The 18632-nt window shown below is 45.1% G+C and overlaps 1 long non-coding RNA gene across 1 annotated transcript; it reads left to right on the forward strand.

Annotated features, from left to right (window-relative positions):
* LOC105378890 (uncharacterized) lies at nt 2256-4830 on the forward strand. The gene is made up of 2 exons (XR_947679.3): nt 2256-2958; nt 3739-4830. It is a non-coding gene; the product is annotated as an uncharacterized LOC105378890 (long non-coding RNA).
* Nucleotides 4831-18632: the final 13802 nt, after the last annotated feature.

Genomic DNA, 18632 nt, shown 5'->3' on the forward strand with positions numbered 1-18632 from the left:
CTGTATTTTCAAACATTTAACGCCTGCTGTATGCAAAGCACTATGCTGACAGCTTAAGGGTACCACAATGATAAATTACACCAATCTTGTTTTTGGCATTTTGGGGAGTCTAGTGTCATAGGTAAAGAAGTACATAACTAACAATAAGCTTCAAAAATTCAATCATAAGGCCCGGCACCGTGGCTTCCGCCTGTAATCCCAGCACTTTGGGGGATCACTTGAGCCCCGGAGTGTGAGACCCCGTCTCTACCAAAAAAAAAAAGAAATTAGCTGGGCATGGTGGTGCCTGCCTGTGGTCCCAACTGTTTGGGAGGCTGAGGCCGGAGGATCACTTGACCCCAGGAATCTGAGCCTGCAGTGAGCTATGATTGCACCACTGCACTCCAGTCTGGGCGACAGAACCAGACCATGTCTAAAAAGAAAAAACACTCAGTGATAATTTCACATTACAGTTTGAGAGGTTCCTGTTGACTTGGGGAAACTAGTTTTAGCAGACTTCATTAAAGGAGTGTACACCTTACTACAGGATGTAATTTAAAATAGAATGTTTAAATAATAAATTCACTTCTGGGTATATACTCAAAGCAGGAATTCAAACAGGTATTTGTACACCAAAGTTCGTAACAGCATTATTCACAGTAGCCAAAATGTGGAAACAACCCAAATGTCCATTAAAGGATGAATAAACAAAATGTGATATACATACAATGGAATATTCAGCCTTTATTTTTCCAATCAGAGTTTCAGGAAAATCAACCTTTAAAAGGAGTGAAATTCTGACATTTGCTGCCACATGGATGAATCTTGATGATGATATGCTGAGTGATATATAATCAGTCACGGAAGGACAAATACTGCATGATTCAATTTATATCAGGTACCTAGAGTAGCCAAATTCATAGAGACAAAGTAGAATGGTGGTTGCTACGGGCTGAGAGGAGGAGGGAATTGAGAGTTGTTTAATGGGTGATGGAAAAGTTTTGTAGATAGGATGGTTGCACTGAATGCCACTGAACTTAAAAATTGTTAAAGTGGTTTTATGTATATTTACCACAGTTTCAAAAATTTTAAGGAAAACATAAAAGCTATCATCTATACAGCATTCCTGGATCTAGGGTTTTTGCCTCCCCTGCTGGTTAGCCCATTTATGAACTTGAGCTCCTCATGTCCATTCCCTCTCCAAATTTGCCTATTTCATCATTCTCCTGGCCTCCTACTCTTATTAGAGTCTGAAAAATCATCCTTGGCTCTGTCCATTTTTGTCCTTCCCACACTTGGACAATCACCAAATTTTGACTTCTTCAAGCTGTCATCTACCATCTGTTCCTTCCCACAGCTAATAGCTTAGCCTTGTCATCTCATTTTGTCATTATAACTCATCTTTCCTTCGTACACAAGGTAAGTCCTACTGAGTTATAGACCATGTAACGTCTTTTAGAGTGGATTTTAAGTCAAATAGGCCTTAAATCCAGATTTTACTATTACTGCATAACCTTTGGAAGTTGCATCCTCTCTGAGTGTTAGGGGGTTTTTTTAAGTTAAAAAATGAGAAATGATTACTTATTTGGTAAATGTGTATAGAGTATTTATTATGGATCAAGTACTTGTTTGAATTTAAAAGACAGATAAAGATCCTTTCATAGCTTTTACAGTCCAGCAGGTGTAGGTGTCTGGCACACAATAGGTAATCAAGAGTTATCCTGGGCTGAGTGAGGTGGCTCATGACTGTAATCCCAGCAGTTTGGGAGGCTGAGGCAGGAGGATGGCTTGAGGCTAGGAGTTCAAAACCAGCCTGGGCAACATAGCGAGACCTGTCTCTACAAAGAAAAAAAACATTATCTGGCCATGCTGGCGGGCACCTGTACTCCTAGGTACTCAGGAGGCTGAGGCAGGAGGATCGCTTGAGCCTGGGAGTTTGAGGCTGCAGTGAGCTGTGATCATGTCACTGCACTCCCTGGGCAACAGAGTGAGACCCTGTCTAACAAAAAATTAATTTCAAAATTTAAAATATTTTTTAATATTTTAAAACGGAGTCTGGTTCTGTCACCCAGGCTGGAGTGCAGTGGCGTGATCTCGGCTCACTGCAACCTCCACTTCCCAGGTTCAAGCGATTCTCCTGCCTCAGCCTCATGAGCAGCTGGGATTACAGTCACGCACCACCATGCCCAGCTAATTTTTGTATTTTTAGTAGAGACAGGGTTTCACTATGTTGGCCAGGCTGGTCTCGAACTCCTGACCGCAAGTGATCTGCCCGCCTCAGCCTCCCAAAGTGCTGGGATTCCAGGCGTGAGCCATCGCGCCTGACAAAATTTTTTAAGTTATTCTGGATGCCAGTTTGAGCCTGATGCTTAACAGGATGGAATATTTGGAGGTCTTGAGAAGAGGGTGATTGTATATTCCATGTAAGAGGAATGTAAATAGTTTGTGTCTAGAAGGAAGATTGTAACAGATTAAGATGTACGAATTCCTTCTCACCTATTGAGAGAAACGGGGTCTATTTCTTTTCCTTTTGAATCTATATGGGTTTTGTGATTTCACCAATGAATAGAATACCTCTGCCAGTTTTTGGGCCTAGGACTTAAGAAACTGGCAGCTTCTACTTCCTGTTTTTTAACGCATCCACTCTTGGAACCCAAATGACAATCTGCGAAGAAGACTAAGGGGCCCCACGGAGAGGCCCACATGGAGAAAACTCAATCCCCCCTCACCCGCTATCCCAGGCTGTCAGCCAGCACCACCTTGTCTTGCCAGCCATGTGAGTGAGCCATGTTGGAAGTGAATCCTCCAGGCCCGGTGAGCCATTTAAACTGACTGAAGACAGCAGCTCTGTCCATGTGCACAGAGAGTGGGAAGTGCCTGAAAATTTACATTTTCCTAGGTAGTGCTTTGCTAATGACTGACCGGTGTGGATGTATAAAAGTCCAGCTCCGTGATCTCAGACTTCCGGCCTCCAGAACTGTAAGAAAATAATTTTTTGTTGTTTAAGCCATCCAGTCTGTGGTATTTTGTTACAGCTACCCAAGCTGACTGATAACACTGAATTATGTACATAACTGAATAACCACCTATGGAGCAATAAGAGCACATTTGGAGCATCTTCTCTACCAAGCAAGAAACAAAAACGTTCTCACCTTATCAATATTCTACAAGTTAACCTCTAACTTCTCAGGGTTGTTAACTGTTTGGACTCTCTTGTTTGTAGGGAGTGACTCAGAGAAAGTTAGAGTCCCCAAGAGAGCCATATGCCTGAGAGACAGGCTTAATTCTCTGGCATGTTACTAAAATGTCAGCCATGTGCAGTGGCTCATGCCTGTAATCCCAGCTCTTTGGGAAGCTGAGGCAGGAGGATTGCTTGAGGCCAGGAGTTTGAGACTAGCCTGGGAACGGCCCTTGTCTCCAAAATTAAAAATAAATTTTTTTTAGAAAATGTTAAATACTGTGAAATAATCTATTTCCAAGTGTTGGATATTTTTTCTGCACAGTAGTGAAATTATTGCTGGCTGTCTCGGTGTAAGAATGGCCATTGAGCTGCCTCATATCCTGATGGGAAGGTGCAGGGCCAGAAGTTGAATCACACTATGAGTGTGTTTTATGGGCCAGCTGTGAACCTATGAAAGTAGCAAAGAAGAAATAAGATTTGAAAAGCATGATTCCAAAAGAGTCTGGAAAATTCTTCCAGTTGTCAGACATGCAAAGTTGTAATTTCATATCCATAATTCTTTATGCTTTTTCTTATAGCAGGCCCTGACATTGTATAAGCTTCAGGCCCCACAAAACCTGGATCTGCCCTGCCAGGATCAGCATCTAGAGGAAAACTACTACTTCCACAATAGCACAACCAATCTGATCATCCCTGCATCAGTGAGCATTCTCCAGAGAAACAGAGCCAACAGGATATGTGTATATATGTGAAGAAAGACTTATTTTAAGGAGTTGGCTCATGCAATTATGGAGGTGCAAGTCCAAAATCTGTAGGGCAGGCAGATGGGCAGACTGGAGACCCAGAGAAGAGTTGCAGTTCAAGTCCAAAGTCGGTTGGAAGAATTCCCTCTTGCTGGGTAACACTGGGGAAGCAGGAGTAGATGGAAAGGGGAGGTGTCAGGCTTTGCTCTACCAAGGACTTCAACTGATTGGATGAGGCCCAGTAACATTATGGAGGGAAACCTGCTTTGCTCAGAGTTTACTGATTTAAATATTAATCTCATCCACAAAAAAATAAATAACCTTCACAGAAACATTTAGAATATTTGACCAAATATCTAAGTCCCATGGCTCAGACAACTTAACACATAAAATTATCCATCACAATTCCATTATCCCAATACAGGTCGGCAGGGCCTTGGGCAGGTGGTAACCTCAGCTCTGGAGTCTACAGCAATACTCTCACACTTAACAGATGTAGTTCTGTGGGTCCAGGTCCCACTTCGCAAGAGAGAATCTGATGGGCTAATTTCGACCAAGTCTCCTTTCCTAGTTCAATCACGTGTAAGGGTTAGAGAAAGGGTTGGGCTCACAAGGGACTTAGGGCTGCCTCTCTGGACTTGGGAGAGCAGGACTTCTCAAGAGATAAATGGTTAGAGAGTAATATAATTTGGATATTTGTCCCCTATAAATCTCATGTTGAAATTTGATGTTCAATGTTGAGGGCAGGTCTGGGACCTCCCTCCCTGCTTTTGCTCCCCCTCTCGCCATATGGCACAACTGCTCCCTTCACCTTCTGCTATGAATGGAAGCTTCCTGAGGCCTTCACCAAAAGCGGAGGCTGGTACCATGCTTCACGCACAGCCTGCAGAATCATGAGCCAAATAAACTACTTTTCTTTATAAATCATCCAGTTTCAGGTATTCGCTTATAGCAACACAAAATGGACTAATACAGAGAGGAAATATTTTGAGCACATTGAAGGCCCCAAAATATTGAGCTTTTTTTTTTTAACCTATATAGTACTTTTCTTGCATCTCAGTTTGCTTATCTATAGAATGAGGATTAATAAGACCTACCAACTTCAGGGGGTCATTCTGGTGAGATAAGTGAAAAAATTTGTAAAGAAGTGTATAAATTTACCATTGTTTTTTAAAACTAAAATGATCTCTAACACTAAGTTGATGATCTGATCACAAAGATGGGGTAGATGAAATGAAGAGAAAAGGTTTCTGACATTTGTATACTTAGAAATGTATCCAGGCTGGGCATGGTGGTCCATACCTGTAATCCCAGCACTTTGAGAGGCCAACGCAGGAGGGTCACTTGAGGCCACGAGTTCAAAACCAGCCTGGCCACATTGAGAGGTGACAGTGTGTTGGCAGTCCTCACAGCCCTCGCTCACTCTTGGCGCCTCCTCTGCCTGGGCTCCCACTTTGGTGGCACTTGAGGAGCTCTTCAGCCCACCGCTGCACTGTGGGAGCCCCTTTCTGGGCTGGCCAAGGCCAGAGCCGGCTCCCTCAGCGTGCAGGGAGGTGTGGAGGGAGAGGCGGGAGCGGGAACCCGGGCTGCACGCAGCGCTTGCAGGCCAGCTGGAGTTCGGGTGGGCGTGGGCTTGGCGGGGACCGCACTCGGAGCAGCCGGCGGGACCTGCCGGCCCCGGGCAATGAGGGGCTTAGCACCCGGGCCAGTGGCTGCAGAGGTTGTACTGGGTCCCCCAGCAGTGCCAGCCCACCGGCGCTGTGCTCGATTTCTCGCCTGGCCTTAGCTGCCCTCCCGCGGGGCAGGGCTCGGGACCTGCAGCCTGCCATGCCTGAGCCTCCCACCCCCTCCGTGGGCTCCTGTGCGGCTGGAGCCTCCCTGATGAGCACCGCCCCTTGCTCCACGGCGCCCAGTCCCATCGACCATTCAAGCGCTGAGGAGTGCGGGTGCATGGCGCGGGACTGGCAGGCAGCTCCACCTGCAGCTCTGGTGCAGGATCCACTGGGGGAAGCCAGCTGGGTTCCTGAGTCTGGTGGGGAGTGGAGAATCTTTATGTCTAGCTCAGGGATTGTAAATACACCAATCGGCACTCTGTATCTAGCTCAAGGTTTGTAAACACACCAATCAGCACCCTGTGTCTAGCTCAGAGTTTGTGAATGCACCAATCGACACTCTGTATCTAGCTACTCTGGTGGGGCCTTGGAGAACCTTTGTGTCAACACTCTATATCTAGCTAATCTGGTGGGGACCTGGAGAACTTTTGTGTCTAGCTCAGGGATTGTAAACGCACCAATCAGCGCCCTGTCAAAACAGACCACTCAGCTCTACCAATCAGCAGGATGTGGGTGGGGCCAGATAAGAGAATAAAAGCAGGCTGCCCGAGTCAGCAGTGGCAACCTGTTCGGGTCCCCTTCCACACTGTGGAAGCTTTGTTCTTTTGCTCTTTGCAATAAATCTTGCTACTGCTCACTCTTTGGGTCCACACTGCCTTTATGAGCTGTAACACTCACCGTGAAGGTCTGCAGCTTCACTCCTGAAGCCAGCGAGACCACGAGCCCACCGGGAGGAACAAACAACTCCAGACGCGCCACCTTAAGAGCTGTAACACTGACTGCGAAGGTCTGCAGCTTCACTCCTGAGCCAGCGAGACCACGAACCCACCAGAAGGAAGAAACCCCGAACACATCTGAACATCAGAAGGAACAAACTCTGGACACGCTGCCTTTAAGAACTGTAACACTCACCGCGAGGGTCCGCTGCTTCATTCTTGAAGACAGTGAGACCAAGAACCCACCAACTCCAGACACAACATGACGAGACCCCATCTCTATAAAAAATTTAAAAATTGGCCAGTGTGGTCGTCCATGCCTATAGTCCCAGCTACATGGGAGGCTGAGGTGGGACAATCAATCACTTGAGCTCAGGATTTCAAGCCTGCAGTGAACTATGGTCACACCACTGCACTCCAGCCTGGATAACTTGTGTCAGAAAAAAATAAAAATGAGAGAGAGGGAGGAAGAGAGACAGAGAAAGAGAAAGAAAGAAGGGAGGGAAGAGGAAAGCAAGGGAAAGAAGGGAGGGAGGGAAGAAGGAAGAAAGGAGGGGGAAGAAAGAAGGAAGGGAAGAAGGAAGAAAGGGAGGGAGGGGAGAGGAAGTATGTATTCAGTCAGGGTTCTTAATTGCAAACAATGGAATGCACTCAGGCTGGTTTAAGTAGAAAAGTAATTTTTTTTTTTTAGATGGAGTTTCACTCTTGTTGCCCAGGCTGGAGTGCAAAGGTGAGATCTTGGCTCACTGAAGCCTCTGCCTCCCAGGTTCAAGCAGTTCTCTTCCCTCAGCCTCCCAAGTAGCTGGGATTACAGGCGCTTGCCACCATGCCCAGCTAATTGTTGCATTTTTGGTAGAGATAGGGTTTAGCCATGTTGACCAGGCTGTTCTCAAACTCCTGACCTCAGGTGACCCACCCGCCTTAGCCTTCCAAAGTGGGGATTATAGGCATGAGCCACCACGCCCAGCCGAAAAGTAATTTATTATTGAACTCTCACCCAATCTCTTAGACAACTAAAGAACCCTACTCATTATTTTATTTTTTAAATTGAGATAATGTTTTGCTGTGTTGCCCAGCCTGGTCTCAAACTCCTGAGATCAAGCGATCCTCCTGCCTCAGCCTCTCAAGTAGCTGGGATTACAGATGCATACCACCATGACTGGCTTCTGAATCTAATTCTCAAATCCACGTATCTAATGGATTGAGCCTAGGTTATTTCCAGCTTCAAGGGTCTTGGGTTGTAAAATGTTTTAGGTGGTGGGGATGAGGCTTCCATTTGGGTAAGATGAATATCATTACGTGGGAAACTACCGAAATGTAGGGACAGTGTTCAAATCTACAAATAACAAATTTCTACCACAGAAAAGTACACGTTGAGTATCCCTAATTTGAAAAATACAAAATCTGAAACTTCTGAGCACCCGAAACGATGGCACAAGTGGAAAATTCCACACCTGACCTCATATGATGAGTCACAGCCAAAACGCAGTTAAAACTTTGTTTCAAGCACAACATTATTTAAAATATTGTATAAGAAAGGGGAGTAAGATGGTGGAACAGAAGCCTACACTGTTTGCCCCCTGCCCGTTGGCAGGAACACCAAATTTTAACAACTATCTATACACAGAAAAGCACCGTCACAAGAACCAAAACTCAGATGAGCTATCACAGTACCTGATTTTGACTTCCTATCACTGAAAAAGGCATTGAAGAGGGTCAGAGAGACAGTCCTGAACCGCCAACACCACCCTTTCCTCATCCCCTGGCACAGAGAGTCTATGCACTTGGGGGTGGGAGAGCACAGTGACTGGGGAACTTTACATTGAACTCAGTGCTTCCCTGTCACAGTGGAGAGGAGAGGAAAGCTGTGCTGCAATCAGGCAGTGCCTGCGCGTGAAAGGAACATTTGGACCATACCTAGCCAGCGGGGAATCACCCACCCCAGTGGTCAGAACTTGAGTTTTTTTGGTAAGCCTCGCCACTGCAAGTCAAAGTGCTCTGGGGTCCTAGTAAAGTTGAAAGGCAGTCTAGGACAGAAAGACTGCAATTCCTAGGCAATTCTTAATTGCTGGGCTGGGCTCTGAGCCAGTGGACTAGGATGGTATGTGACCTAGAGAGACACCAGGCAGGGTGGCTGAAGGAGTGCTTCCACAACCCCAAGCAGTGCAGTTCACAGTGGCAAAAGTGACTCTTTCCTTCTGCTTAAGGAGAAGAGAGTGAAGAGTAAGGAGGACTTTGTCTTGCATACCAGCTCAGCTGCAATAGGATAGAGCACTGAACAGAGTCATAAGGCCCCCATTAAAGGCCCTTGCTCAAGGATGACATTTCTAGACATACCTTGGGCCAAAAGGGAACCCACTGCCTTGAAGGGAAGGGCCCAGTCCTGGCAGGATTCATCACCTGCTCACTAAAGAGCCCTTGGGCCCTGTATAACCAGCAATGATACCCAGGCAGTATGCCATGGGCCTTGGGCTCTGAGATGTGCTGACTTCAGGTGAGACATAGTACATTCCCAGCTGTGGTGGCTATGGTGACACACTCCATCTGATTAAGAAAAACAGAGGGAAAGGGAAAGGGGACTTTGTCTTGCCCCTTGGATACAAGCTTGGCCACAGTTGGGTAGAGCAACAAACAGGCTCTTGCAGTTCCCAAGTCTAGACCTAGGCTCTTGGCAGCATTTCTGGACCTGCACTGGGCCGGAGGGGAGCCCACTGCCCTGAAAGGTGAGTCCCAGGCCTTTTAGCATTCACTACAAGCTGACTGAAGAGCCCCTGGGCTTTAAGTGAAAATCAAGAGTGGCCTGGCAGAACCCCGCTCTGGGCTGATGGTGGCCATAGGCAGAGGCTCTTCTGCCTAAGTAAAGCAGAGAGGGGAACAGGAAGGACTTTGTATTGTGGTTTCAGTGCCAGCTTAGCCACAGTAGACTAGAATATCAGACAAATGTATCAGGTTTTTGACTCCAATCCCTGGCTCATCTCTGGACCTGCCTAGGGGAACTTGCTGCTCTGAAGGGAAGGACATAAACCTGGCTGGCTTTGCCACCTGCTGATTGTACAGCCCTAGGGCCTTAAGTGAACATAGGTAGTAGCCAGGTAGTGGTTACAGCAGGCCTTGGGCAAGACCCAGAGCTGTGCTGGCTTCAGGTCTGACCCAGTACAGTCCCAGTGGTGGTGACCACAGGGGTGCTTGCATCACTACACCCCCAGTTTCAGGTGGCTCAGGACAGGGAGAGACTCTGTTTGGGAGAAAGTACGGGAAGAGAACAAGAGTCTCTGCCTGGTAGTCCAGAAAATTCTTCCAGATCTTATCAAAGACCACCAAGGCAGTACCTCTGTAAGTATGCAAGAAATACAGCTTTATTGGGCTTGGGGCCCAAGTCCCTTCAAATACCTGGAAAGCCTTCTCAAGAAGGATGGGCACAAACAAGCCCAGACTGCAAACATTACAATAGATACCTAACTCTTTAATGCCCAGACACTGACAAACATCTACAAGCATCAAGATCATTCAGGAAAACATGACTTCACCAAACAAACTAAATAAGGTACTAGGGACCAATTCTAGAGAGACAGGGATATGTTAACCTTCAGACAGAAAATTCAAAATAGCTGTTTTGAGGAAACTCAAAGAAATTCAAGATGACACCGAGAAGGAATTATGAATTCTACCAAATAAATATAACGAAGAGATTAAAATAATTTTTAAAAATCAAGCATAAATTCTAGAGTTGAAAAGTGCAATTGACATACTGAAGACTGCATCAGTCTCTTAATAGCAGAACTGATCAAGTAGAAGAAAAAAGTAATGAGCTTGAAGACAGGATATTTGAAAATACAGTCAGAGAAGACAAAATAAAAAAGAATGAAGCATGCCTACAAGATCTAGAAAATAGCCTCAAAAGGGGAAATCTAAGGGTTAATGGCCTTAAAGAAGAGGTAGAGAAAGAGATAGGGGTAGAAAGTTTATTAAAGCAATAGTATCAGAGAGCATCCCAAACCTAGAGAAAGTTATCAACATTCAAGTACAAGATTATAGAATCCCAAGCAGATTTAACCCGAAGAAGACTACCTCAAGGCATTTAATAATCAAATCCCAATATTAAGGATAAAGAAAGGATTCTAAAAGCAGCAAGAGAAAAAAACCAACAAACATTGGAGCTCCAATACATCTGGCAGGAAGCAGACTTTTCAGTGGGAACCTCACAGGCCAAAAGAGAGTGATATGACATATTTAAAATGCTGAAGGAAAAAAACTTTTACCCTAGAATAATATATTCAGCAAAAATATTCTTCAAGCATGAAGGAGAAAAAAAAACCTTCCCAGACAAACAAAAGCTGAGAGATTTCATCAATACCAGACCTGTCCTGTGAGAAATGATAAAGTGAATTTTTCAGTCTGAAAGAAAAGGATATTAATGAGCAAGAGGAGACTACCTGAAGGTACAAAACTCACTGGCAAGGGTAAGAACACAGAATAGTATAACACTAACTGTGGTGTGTAAACTTCTCTTGACTTAAGTAGAAAGACTAAATAATGAACAAATAAAAAATAATAACTACAACAACTTTTCAAGATGTAGACAATACAATAAGACATAAAGAGGACCAAAGCTAAAAAGCAGGGGGACGAAGTCAAAGTGTAGATTTTTTGTTAGTTTTTTGTGTGTGTTTGTTATGCAATCAGTGTTAACTTGTCATCTGTTTAAAATAATGGGTTATAAGATAGTGTTTGCAAGCCTCATGGTAACTGCAAATCAAAAATCATACAACACATACACAAGAAATTAAATCATACCACCAGAGAAAATCACCTTCACTAAAAGAAAGACAGGAATAAAGGAAAAAAAAGAGAAGACTGCAAAACAACCAGAAAACAAATAACAAAATGGCAGGAGTGAGTCCCTCCTCACCAATAATAACATTGAATATAACTGGACTAAACTCTCCAATAAAAAGGCTGAATGGATGAAAAAAACAAGACCCACGGATCTGCTGCCTACGAGAAAGACACTTCATCTATAAAGATACATACAGACTGAAAATAAAAGGATCGAAAAGGATATTCCATGCCAATGGAAACCAAAACACAGCAGGAGTTGCTGTACTTACATCAGACAAAATATATTTCAAGATGAAAACTGTAAGGCGAGACAAAGAAGGTCACCATATAATGATAAAAGGGTCAATTCAGCAAGAGGATATAACCATTGTAAACATACATGCACCCAACACCGGAGCACCCAGATATATAAAGCAAATATTATTAGAACTAAAGAGAGAGATAGACCTCAATAGGATAATAGCTGGAGACTCTAACACCCCACTTTCAGCATTGGGCAAGTCTCCCTTACAGAAATTCAACAAAGAAACATTGGACTTAATCTGCCCTAAAGAACGAATAGACATAATAGATATTAAAAGAACATTTCATCCACTAGCTGCAGAATACACATTCTTCTCTTTAGCATATGGACCATTCTCAAGGATAGACCATATGTTAGATCACAAAACAAATATTAAAACATTCAAAAAAATTGAAATAATTTCAAGCATTTTCTCTGACCACAAAGGAATAAAACTAGAAATCAATAACAAGAGGAATTTTGGAAACAATACAAACACATAGAAATTTAAACAATATGCTCCTGAATGACTAGTGAGTCAATGAAGAAATTAAGAAGGAAACTGAAAAATTTCTTGAAACAAATAATAGAAACACAATGGGCTGGGCACAGTGGCTCATGCCTATAATCCCAGCACTTTGGGAGGCCGAGGAGGGCAGATCACAATATCAGGTGATTGAGACCATCCGGGCTAACACAGTGGAACCCCGTCTCTACTAAAAATACAAAAAAAAATTAGCCAGGCTTGGTGGTGGGTGCCTGTAGTCCCAGCTACTCTGGAGGCTGAGGCAGGAGAATGGCATGAACCTGGGAGGCGGAGCTTGCAGTGAGCCGAGATCGCGCCATTGCACTCCAGCCTGGGCAACAGAGTGAGACTCCGTCTCAAAAATAAAAATAAAAAATAAAAATAGAAACACAACATACCCAAACCTATGGGATACAGTGAAAGCAGTACTAAGAAAAATGTAAAGCTATAAAAGCCTACATCAAAAAAAAGGAAAAACTTCAAATAATAACCTAACAGTGCATGCATCTAAAAGAACAAGGAAAGCAAGAGCAAACCAAACTCACAATTAATAGAAGGAAAGAAATAGCAAAGATCAGAGCAGAAATAAGTGAATCTGAAATGAAGAAAACAATACAAAAGATAAACTAAACCAAAAGTTGGGTTTTTTTTAAAAAGATAAACAAAATTGGCAAACCTTTAGCCAGACTAACAGAAAAAAAGGGAGAAGACCCAAATAAAATCAGAGACAAAAAAGGAGACATTACCACTGATACCACAGAAATTCAAAGGATCATTAGTGGCTACTATTAGCAACTATATGCCAATAAACTAGAGAATCTAGAGGTATGGATAATTCCTAGACATGACTCACCAAGATTGAATCATGAAGAAATCCAAATCCTGAATAGATCAATAACAAGTAATGAGATCGAAGATGTAATAAAAAGTTTCCCGCTCTCCCTCTACCTCTCCCTCTCCCTCTCCGTCTCCCTCTCCCCACGGTCTCCCTCTCTTTCCAAGGTCTCCCTCTCATGCGGAGCCGAAGCTGGACTGTACTGCTGCCATCTCGGCTCACTGCAACCTCCCTGCCTGATTCTCCTGCCTCAGCCTGCCGAGTGCCTGCGATTGCAGGCACGTGCCGCCACGCCTGACTGGTTTTGGTGGAGACGGGGTTTCGCTGTGTTGGCCGGGCCGGTCTCCAGCCCCTAACCGCGAGTGATCCGCCAGCCTCGGCCTCCCGAGGTGCCGGGATTGCAGACGGAGTCTCGTTCACTCAGTGCTCAATGGTGCCCAGGCTGGAGTGCAGTGGCGTGATCTCGGCTGGCTACAACCTCCACCTCCCAGCCGCCTGCCTTGGCATCCCAAACTGCCGAGATTGCAGCCTCTGCCCGGCCACCATCCCGTCTGGGAGATGAGGAGTGTCTCTGCCTGGCCGCCCATCGTCTGGGATGTGAGGAGCCCCTCTGCCTGGCTGCCTAGTCTGGAAAGTGAGGAGCGTCTCCGCCCGGCCGCCATCACATCTAGGAAGTGAGGAGCGTCTCTGCCCGGCCGCCCATCCTCTGAGATGTGGGGAGCGCCTCTGCCCCGCCACCCCATCTGGGATGTGAGGAGCGCCTCTGCCCGGCCGCCCCGTCTGAGAAGTGAGGAGACCCTCTGCCTGGCAACCACCCCGTCTGAGAAGTGAGGAGCCCCTCCGCCCGGCAGCTGCCCCGTCTGAGAAGTGAGGAGCCTCTCTGCCCGGCAGCCACCCCATCTGGGAAGTGAGGAGCGTCTCCGCCCGGCAGCCACCCTGTCCGGGAGGGAGGTGGGGGGGGGTCAGCCCCCCGCCCGGCCAGCCGCCCCATCCGGGAGGGAGGTGAGGGGGTCAGCCCCCCGCCCGGCCAGCCGCCCCGTCCGGGAGGTGAGGGGCGCCTCTGCCCGGCCGCCCCTACTGGGAAGTGAGGAGCCCCTCTGCCCGGCCAGCCGCCCCGTCCGGGAGGGAGGTGGGGGGTCAGCCCCCCGCCCGGCCAGCCGCCCCGTCCGGGAGGTGAGGGGCGCCTCTGCCCGGCCGCCCCTACTGGGAAGTGAAGAGCCCCTCTGCCCGGCCACCACCCCGTCTGGGAGGTGTGCCCAACAGCTCATTGAGAATGGGCCATGATGACAATGGCGGTTTTGTGGAATAGAAAGGGGGGAAAGGTGGGGAAAAGATTGAGAAATCGGATGGTTGCCGTGTCTGTGTAGAAAGAAGTAGACATGGGAGACTTTTCATTTTGTGCTGCACTAAGAAAAATTCTTCTGCCTTGGGATCCTGTAGATCTGTGACCTTACCCCCAACCCTGTGCTCTCTGAAACATGTGCTGTGTCCACTCAGGGTTAAATGGATTAAGGGCGGTGCAAGATGTGCTTTGTTAAACAGATGCTTGAAGGCAGCATGCTCGTTAAGAGTCATCACCACTCCCTAATCTCAAGTAATCAGGGACACAAACACTGCGGAAGGCCGCAGGGTCCTCTACCTAGGAAAACCAGAGACCTTTGTTCACTTGTTTATCTGCTGACCTTCCCTCCACTATTGTCCCATGACCCTGCCAAATCCCCCTCTGTGAGAAACACCCAAGAATTATCAATAAAAATAAAATAAAATAAAATAAAAAAAGGGACAGAAATTGTGCATTCGGGGAGCTCGGATTTTAAGGCAGTAGCTTGCCGATGCTCCCAGCTGAATAAAGCCCTTCCTTCTACAAAAAAAGAAAAAAAATTCCCAATAAAGAAAAGCCCAGGACCTGCTGGCTTCACTGCTGAATTCCACCAAATATTTAAAGAACTAATACTATGTACATTTTAAAATAATTAAGAGTATAAATGGATGGCTGGGCATGGTGGCGCATGCCTGTAATCCTAGCACATTGAGAGGCCAAGGCGGGCAGATCACTTGAGGTCAGGAGTTTGAGATCAGCCTGGCCAATATGGCAAAGCCCCATCTCTACTAAAAATACAAAAATTAGCCGGATGTGGTGGCACACACCTGTAATTCCTGCTACTCGGGAGGCTGAGGCACAAGAATCACTTGAGCCCAGGAGGCAGAGGTTGCAATAAGCTGAGATCATGTCACTGCACTCCAGCCTGGGTGACAGAGTCAGACTCTGTCTCAATGAATAAATAAATAAATAAATAAATAAATAAATAAATAGTTTGTAACATAAAGGATAAATGCTTGAAGGGATGGATACCCCATTTTCCATAATGTGATTATTATGCATTACATGCCTGTGTCAAAATATCTCATGTACTCCATAAATATATACACCTTCTAGGTACTCATAAAAATTACAAATTGAAAAATTTTTAAATAAAATATTGTATAAAGTTGGCTTCAGGTTATGTGTATAAGGTGTATATGAAATACAAATGAATTTCATGTTTAGGTTTGGGTCCTAGCCCCAAGATATCTCATTATGTACATGCAAATATTTCAAAATCTGAAATCTAAAACACTTCTGGCACCAAAAATTTTAGATAAGGGATGCTTAACCTGTGTGCCTTCATGTCTCGAGCCACAAAATCCACAGAAAGAGTCCAGAAGAGCTGGATTACAGTCAATAATGACATAATAATTTTAAAAAATTAGTACTTTATTGTAACTTTTTAAATTTTAGAGATGGGGGTCTGTATGTTGCTCAGGCTGGATTTGAACTCCTGGGCTAAATAATCCTCCTGCCTCAGCCTCCTGAGTAGCTGGGACTACAGGTGCATACTACCACACCCAGCTTTACGATAACTGACCTTTTGTAACCAACTACTCTGTGTACATTGTGGTACTAGATATTTTACATACATTAATCATTTAATCTTCATAAAAACTTGCAAGCTGAGTATCATTAATTCTTTTTTTCATTTAGAAATGGGATTTCACTAGGTTGTCCAGGCTGGGGTGCAGTGGCTATTTGCAGTGTTTGTTTGTTTATTTGTTTGTTGAGACAAGGTCTCACTCTGTCACCCAGGATTGTGCCACTGGAGTGCAGTGGCACAATCTCGGCTTGCTGCAGCCTCAACCTCCCAGGCTCAAGCAATCCTCCCACCTCACCCTCCTGAGTAGCTGGAACTCTAGGCACACACCACTGTGCCCAGCTAATTTTGTTTATTTTTTGTAGAGATGAAGTCTCACTATTTTGCCCAGGCTGGTCTCAAACTCCTGGACTCAATCAATCTTACCACCTTGGCCTCCCAAAGTGTTGGGATTACAGGCGTTAGCTACCATGCCTGGCCCTATTCACAGTCTTGATCATATCTGTTGACCTTAAGAAAGAAATAGAGTCAAAATTAATACAGAGAGTTTATTTGGGCCAAGGTTCAGGACAACTACCAAGGAAATACCTCCAAGAGGCTCAAGTTTTCTTAAAGAAAAAAGGACAAATCAGGAAAGGGACAATTACAAAAGTTGTTTGCCAGGAATTTTCATTGGTATACAGAAATAACATTGATTGGTGATTGGCTATATATTTTTTAACCATAGGGTATGAGTTATGGTGTCCAGAGTATGACTCCATTAGATTAATTTATGGCTATTGGTGTTGACACTCAGTCTGGAGTCCATATAGCAGGCAGATTACTTAGCTCAAAGTGGGGTGTGGGACACGACTTTCGATGGCTTTCTGGGTCTTATAATTTAAAGGCGCTTGCATTCCTCAGATAAGTTTATTTTCTTTTTCCTAGAGTTTTTTCTACAGACTCAAACTCCTGGGCTCAAGTGATCCTCCCGCTTCAACCTCCCTAGTAGCTGGGACTACAAGCACGTGCCACTGCAGCTGGCTCCATTGATTCCATCTTACAAATGAGGAACTGAGATTTATAGTTACTCAAGATTATAAATTCCATAAGCACCAGAGCTGGACTGAGAGGTCAGGTCAGTTTGGCTCTCACCATGCTCTGGTTGGAGCTGGGAACTGATATTTTCTCCCTTGGTGAGGAAATACCCTCCAAGTGCTATGCACAATTTATATACAGGAGTGCAAAAAGGCTGGGGTTTTCAGGTTACCTGATCTGACCCTCCCAACCTACACCTCTGCTACTTTTTTCCTCTACTTTCTCTTTCATAAAACTTTTTTAGAATAAGGAAGAATGAAGAACAATTACCTACAGTTGGTCCTCCATATCTGCAGGTTCTGCATCCACAGATTCAAATAACAGTGAATTGAAAATATTTGGGAAAGAAACAAGAAATAAGATACAACAGTCAAAATAATATATTAAAAAATACAGTATAATTATTTACAAAGTATTACATTGCATTAAGTATTATAAGTAATCTAGAGATAAGGCTGGGATGGTGGCTCATGCCTGTAATCCCACACTTTGGGAGGCTGAGCTGGCAGATTGCTTGAGCCTAGGAGTTCAAGACCAGCCTGGGCAACATGGTGAAACCCCACCTTTACAAAAAATAAATAAATAAGTAATCTAGAGATGATTTAAAGTATATGGGAGGTTATATGCAAATACTACATCATTTTATACAAGGGACTTGAGCATCTGAGGATTTTGGTATCCCTGGGGGGGTCCTGGAACCAGTCCCCCAAGGATATCAAGGGATGACTGTACGTAAGTGTTCCTCGCCTCTCAAAAACCTGCTCTTTCCTTTTTGTATTGCCGTAATAGGTTTTAACAATGATGCTTCAGGTCTGTTATTGCCAGACATTGCCAGCAGGCTTTGGCTATTGTTGCCATGGGTCACATGTCTTTCTGACCTAAGGAAAGGAAGTGCCGCCTTCCCAAAACAACAGATCCTTTAACCCTATTTTGGGTATATTAGATGTTAGGTGTTTGACAGGGCTTGAATTCAGAATCAACAGACAGCTAACTCAGACAAATGGAGATTAAAATGTCATCTTTGTTACTGACAAAAGCTGAACTGGACGTGTTAACCCATTTCCTGTTTAGGAAAAGAAAGTGCAACTCCGCTGCCAGTGCTCATTTCTCAGGGCAAACAGGAAATGGGTTAGGAAAAATTATCAGGCTAGGTACCGTGGCTCACACCTGTAATCCCAGCATTTTGGGAGGACAAGGTAGGAGGATTGCTTGAGCGCAGGAGTTTGAGACCAGTCTGGGCGACGTAGTGATACCCTGTCTTTACAAAAAATAAAAATAAACAATTAGCCACGTATGGTGGTGCCAGCCTGTAGTCCCAGCTTCTTGGGAGGCTGAGGTGGGAGGATTGCTTGATCTTGGGAGGTCATGGCTACAGTGAGCTGTGATCACACCACTGCACTTCAGCCTGGGCAACAGAGTGAGACTCTGTGTCAAAAAAAGAAAGAAAAAATAATATCAAGCCTTAAAAATAAAGTAGGGGCTGGGCGTGGTGGCTCACGCCTGTAATCCCAGCACTTTGGGAGACCAAGGCGGGCGGATCACGAGGTCAGGAGATCGAGACCATCCTGGCTAACATGGTGAAACCCTGTCTCTACTAAAAATACTAAAAATCAGCCGGGCGTGTTGGCATGCACCTGTAGTCCCAGCTACTCTGGAGGCTGAGGCAGGAGAATGGCATGAACCCGGGAGGCGGACCTTGCAGTGAGCTGAGA

The sequence above is a fragment of the Homo sapiens genome, chromosome 1 (genome assembly GCF_000001405.40).
Source record: "Homo sapiens chromosome 1, GRCh38.p14 Primary Assembly".
NCBI lineage: Eukaryota > Metazoa > Chordata > Mammalia > Primates > Hominidae > Homo > Homo sapiens.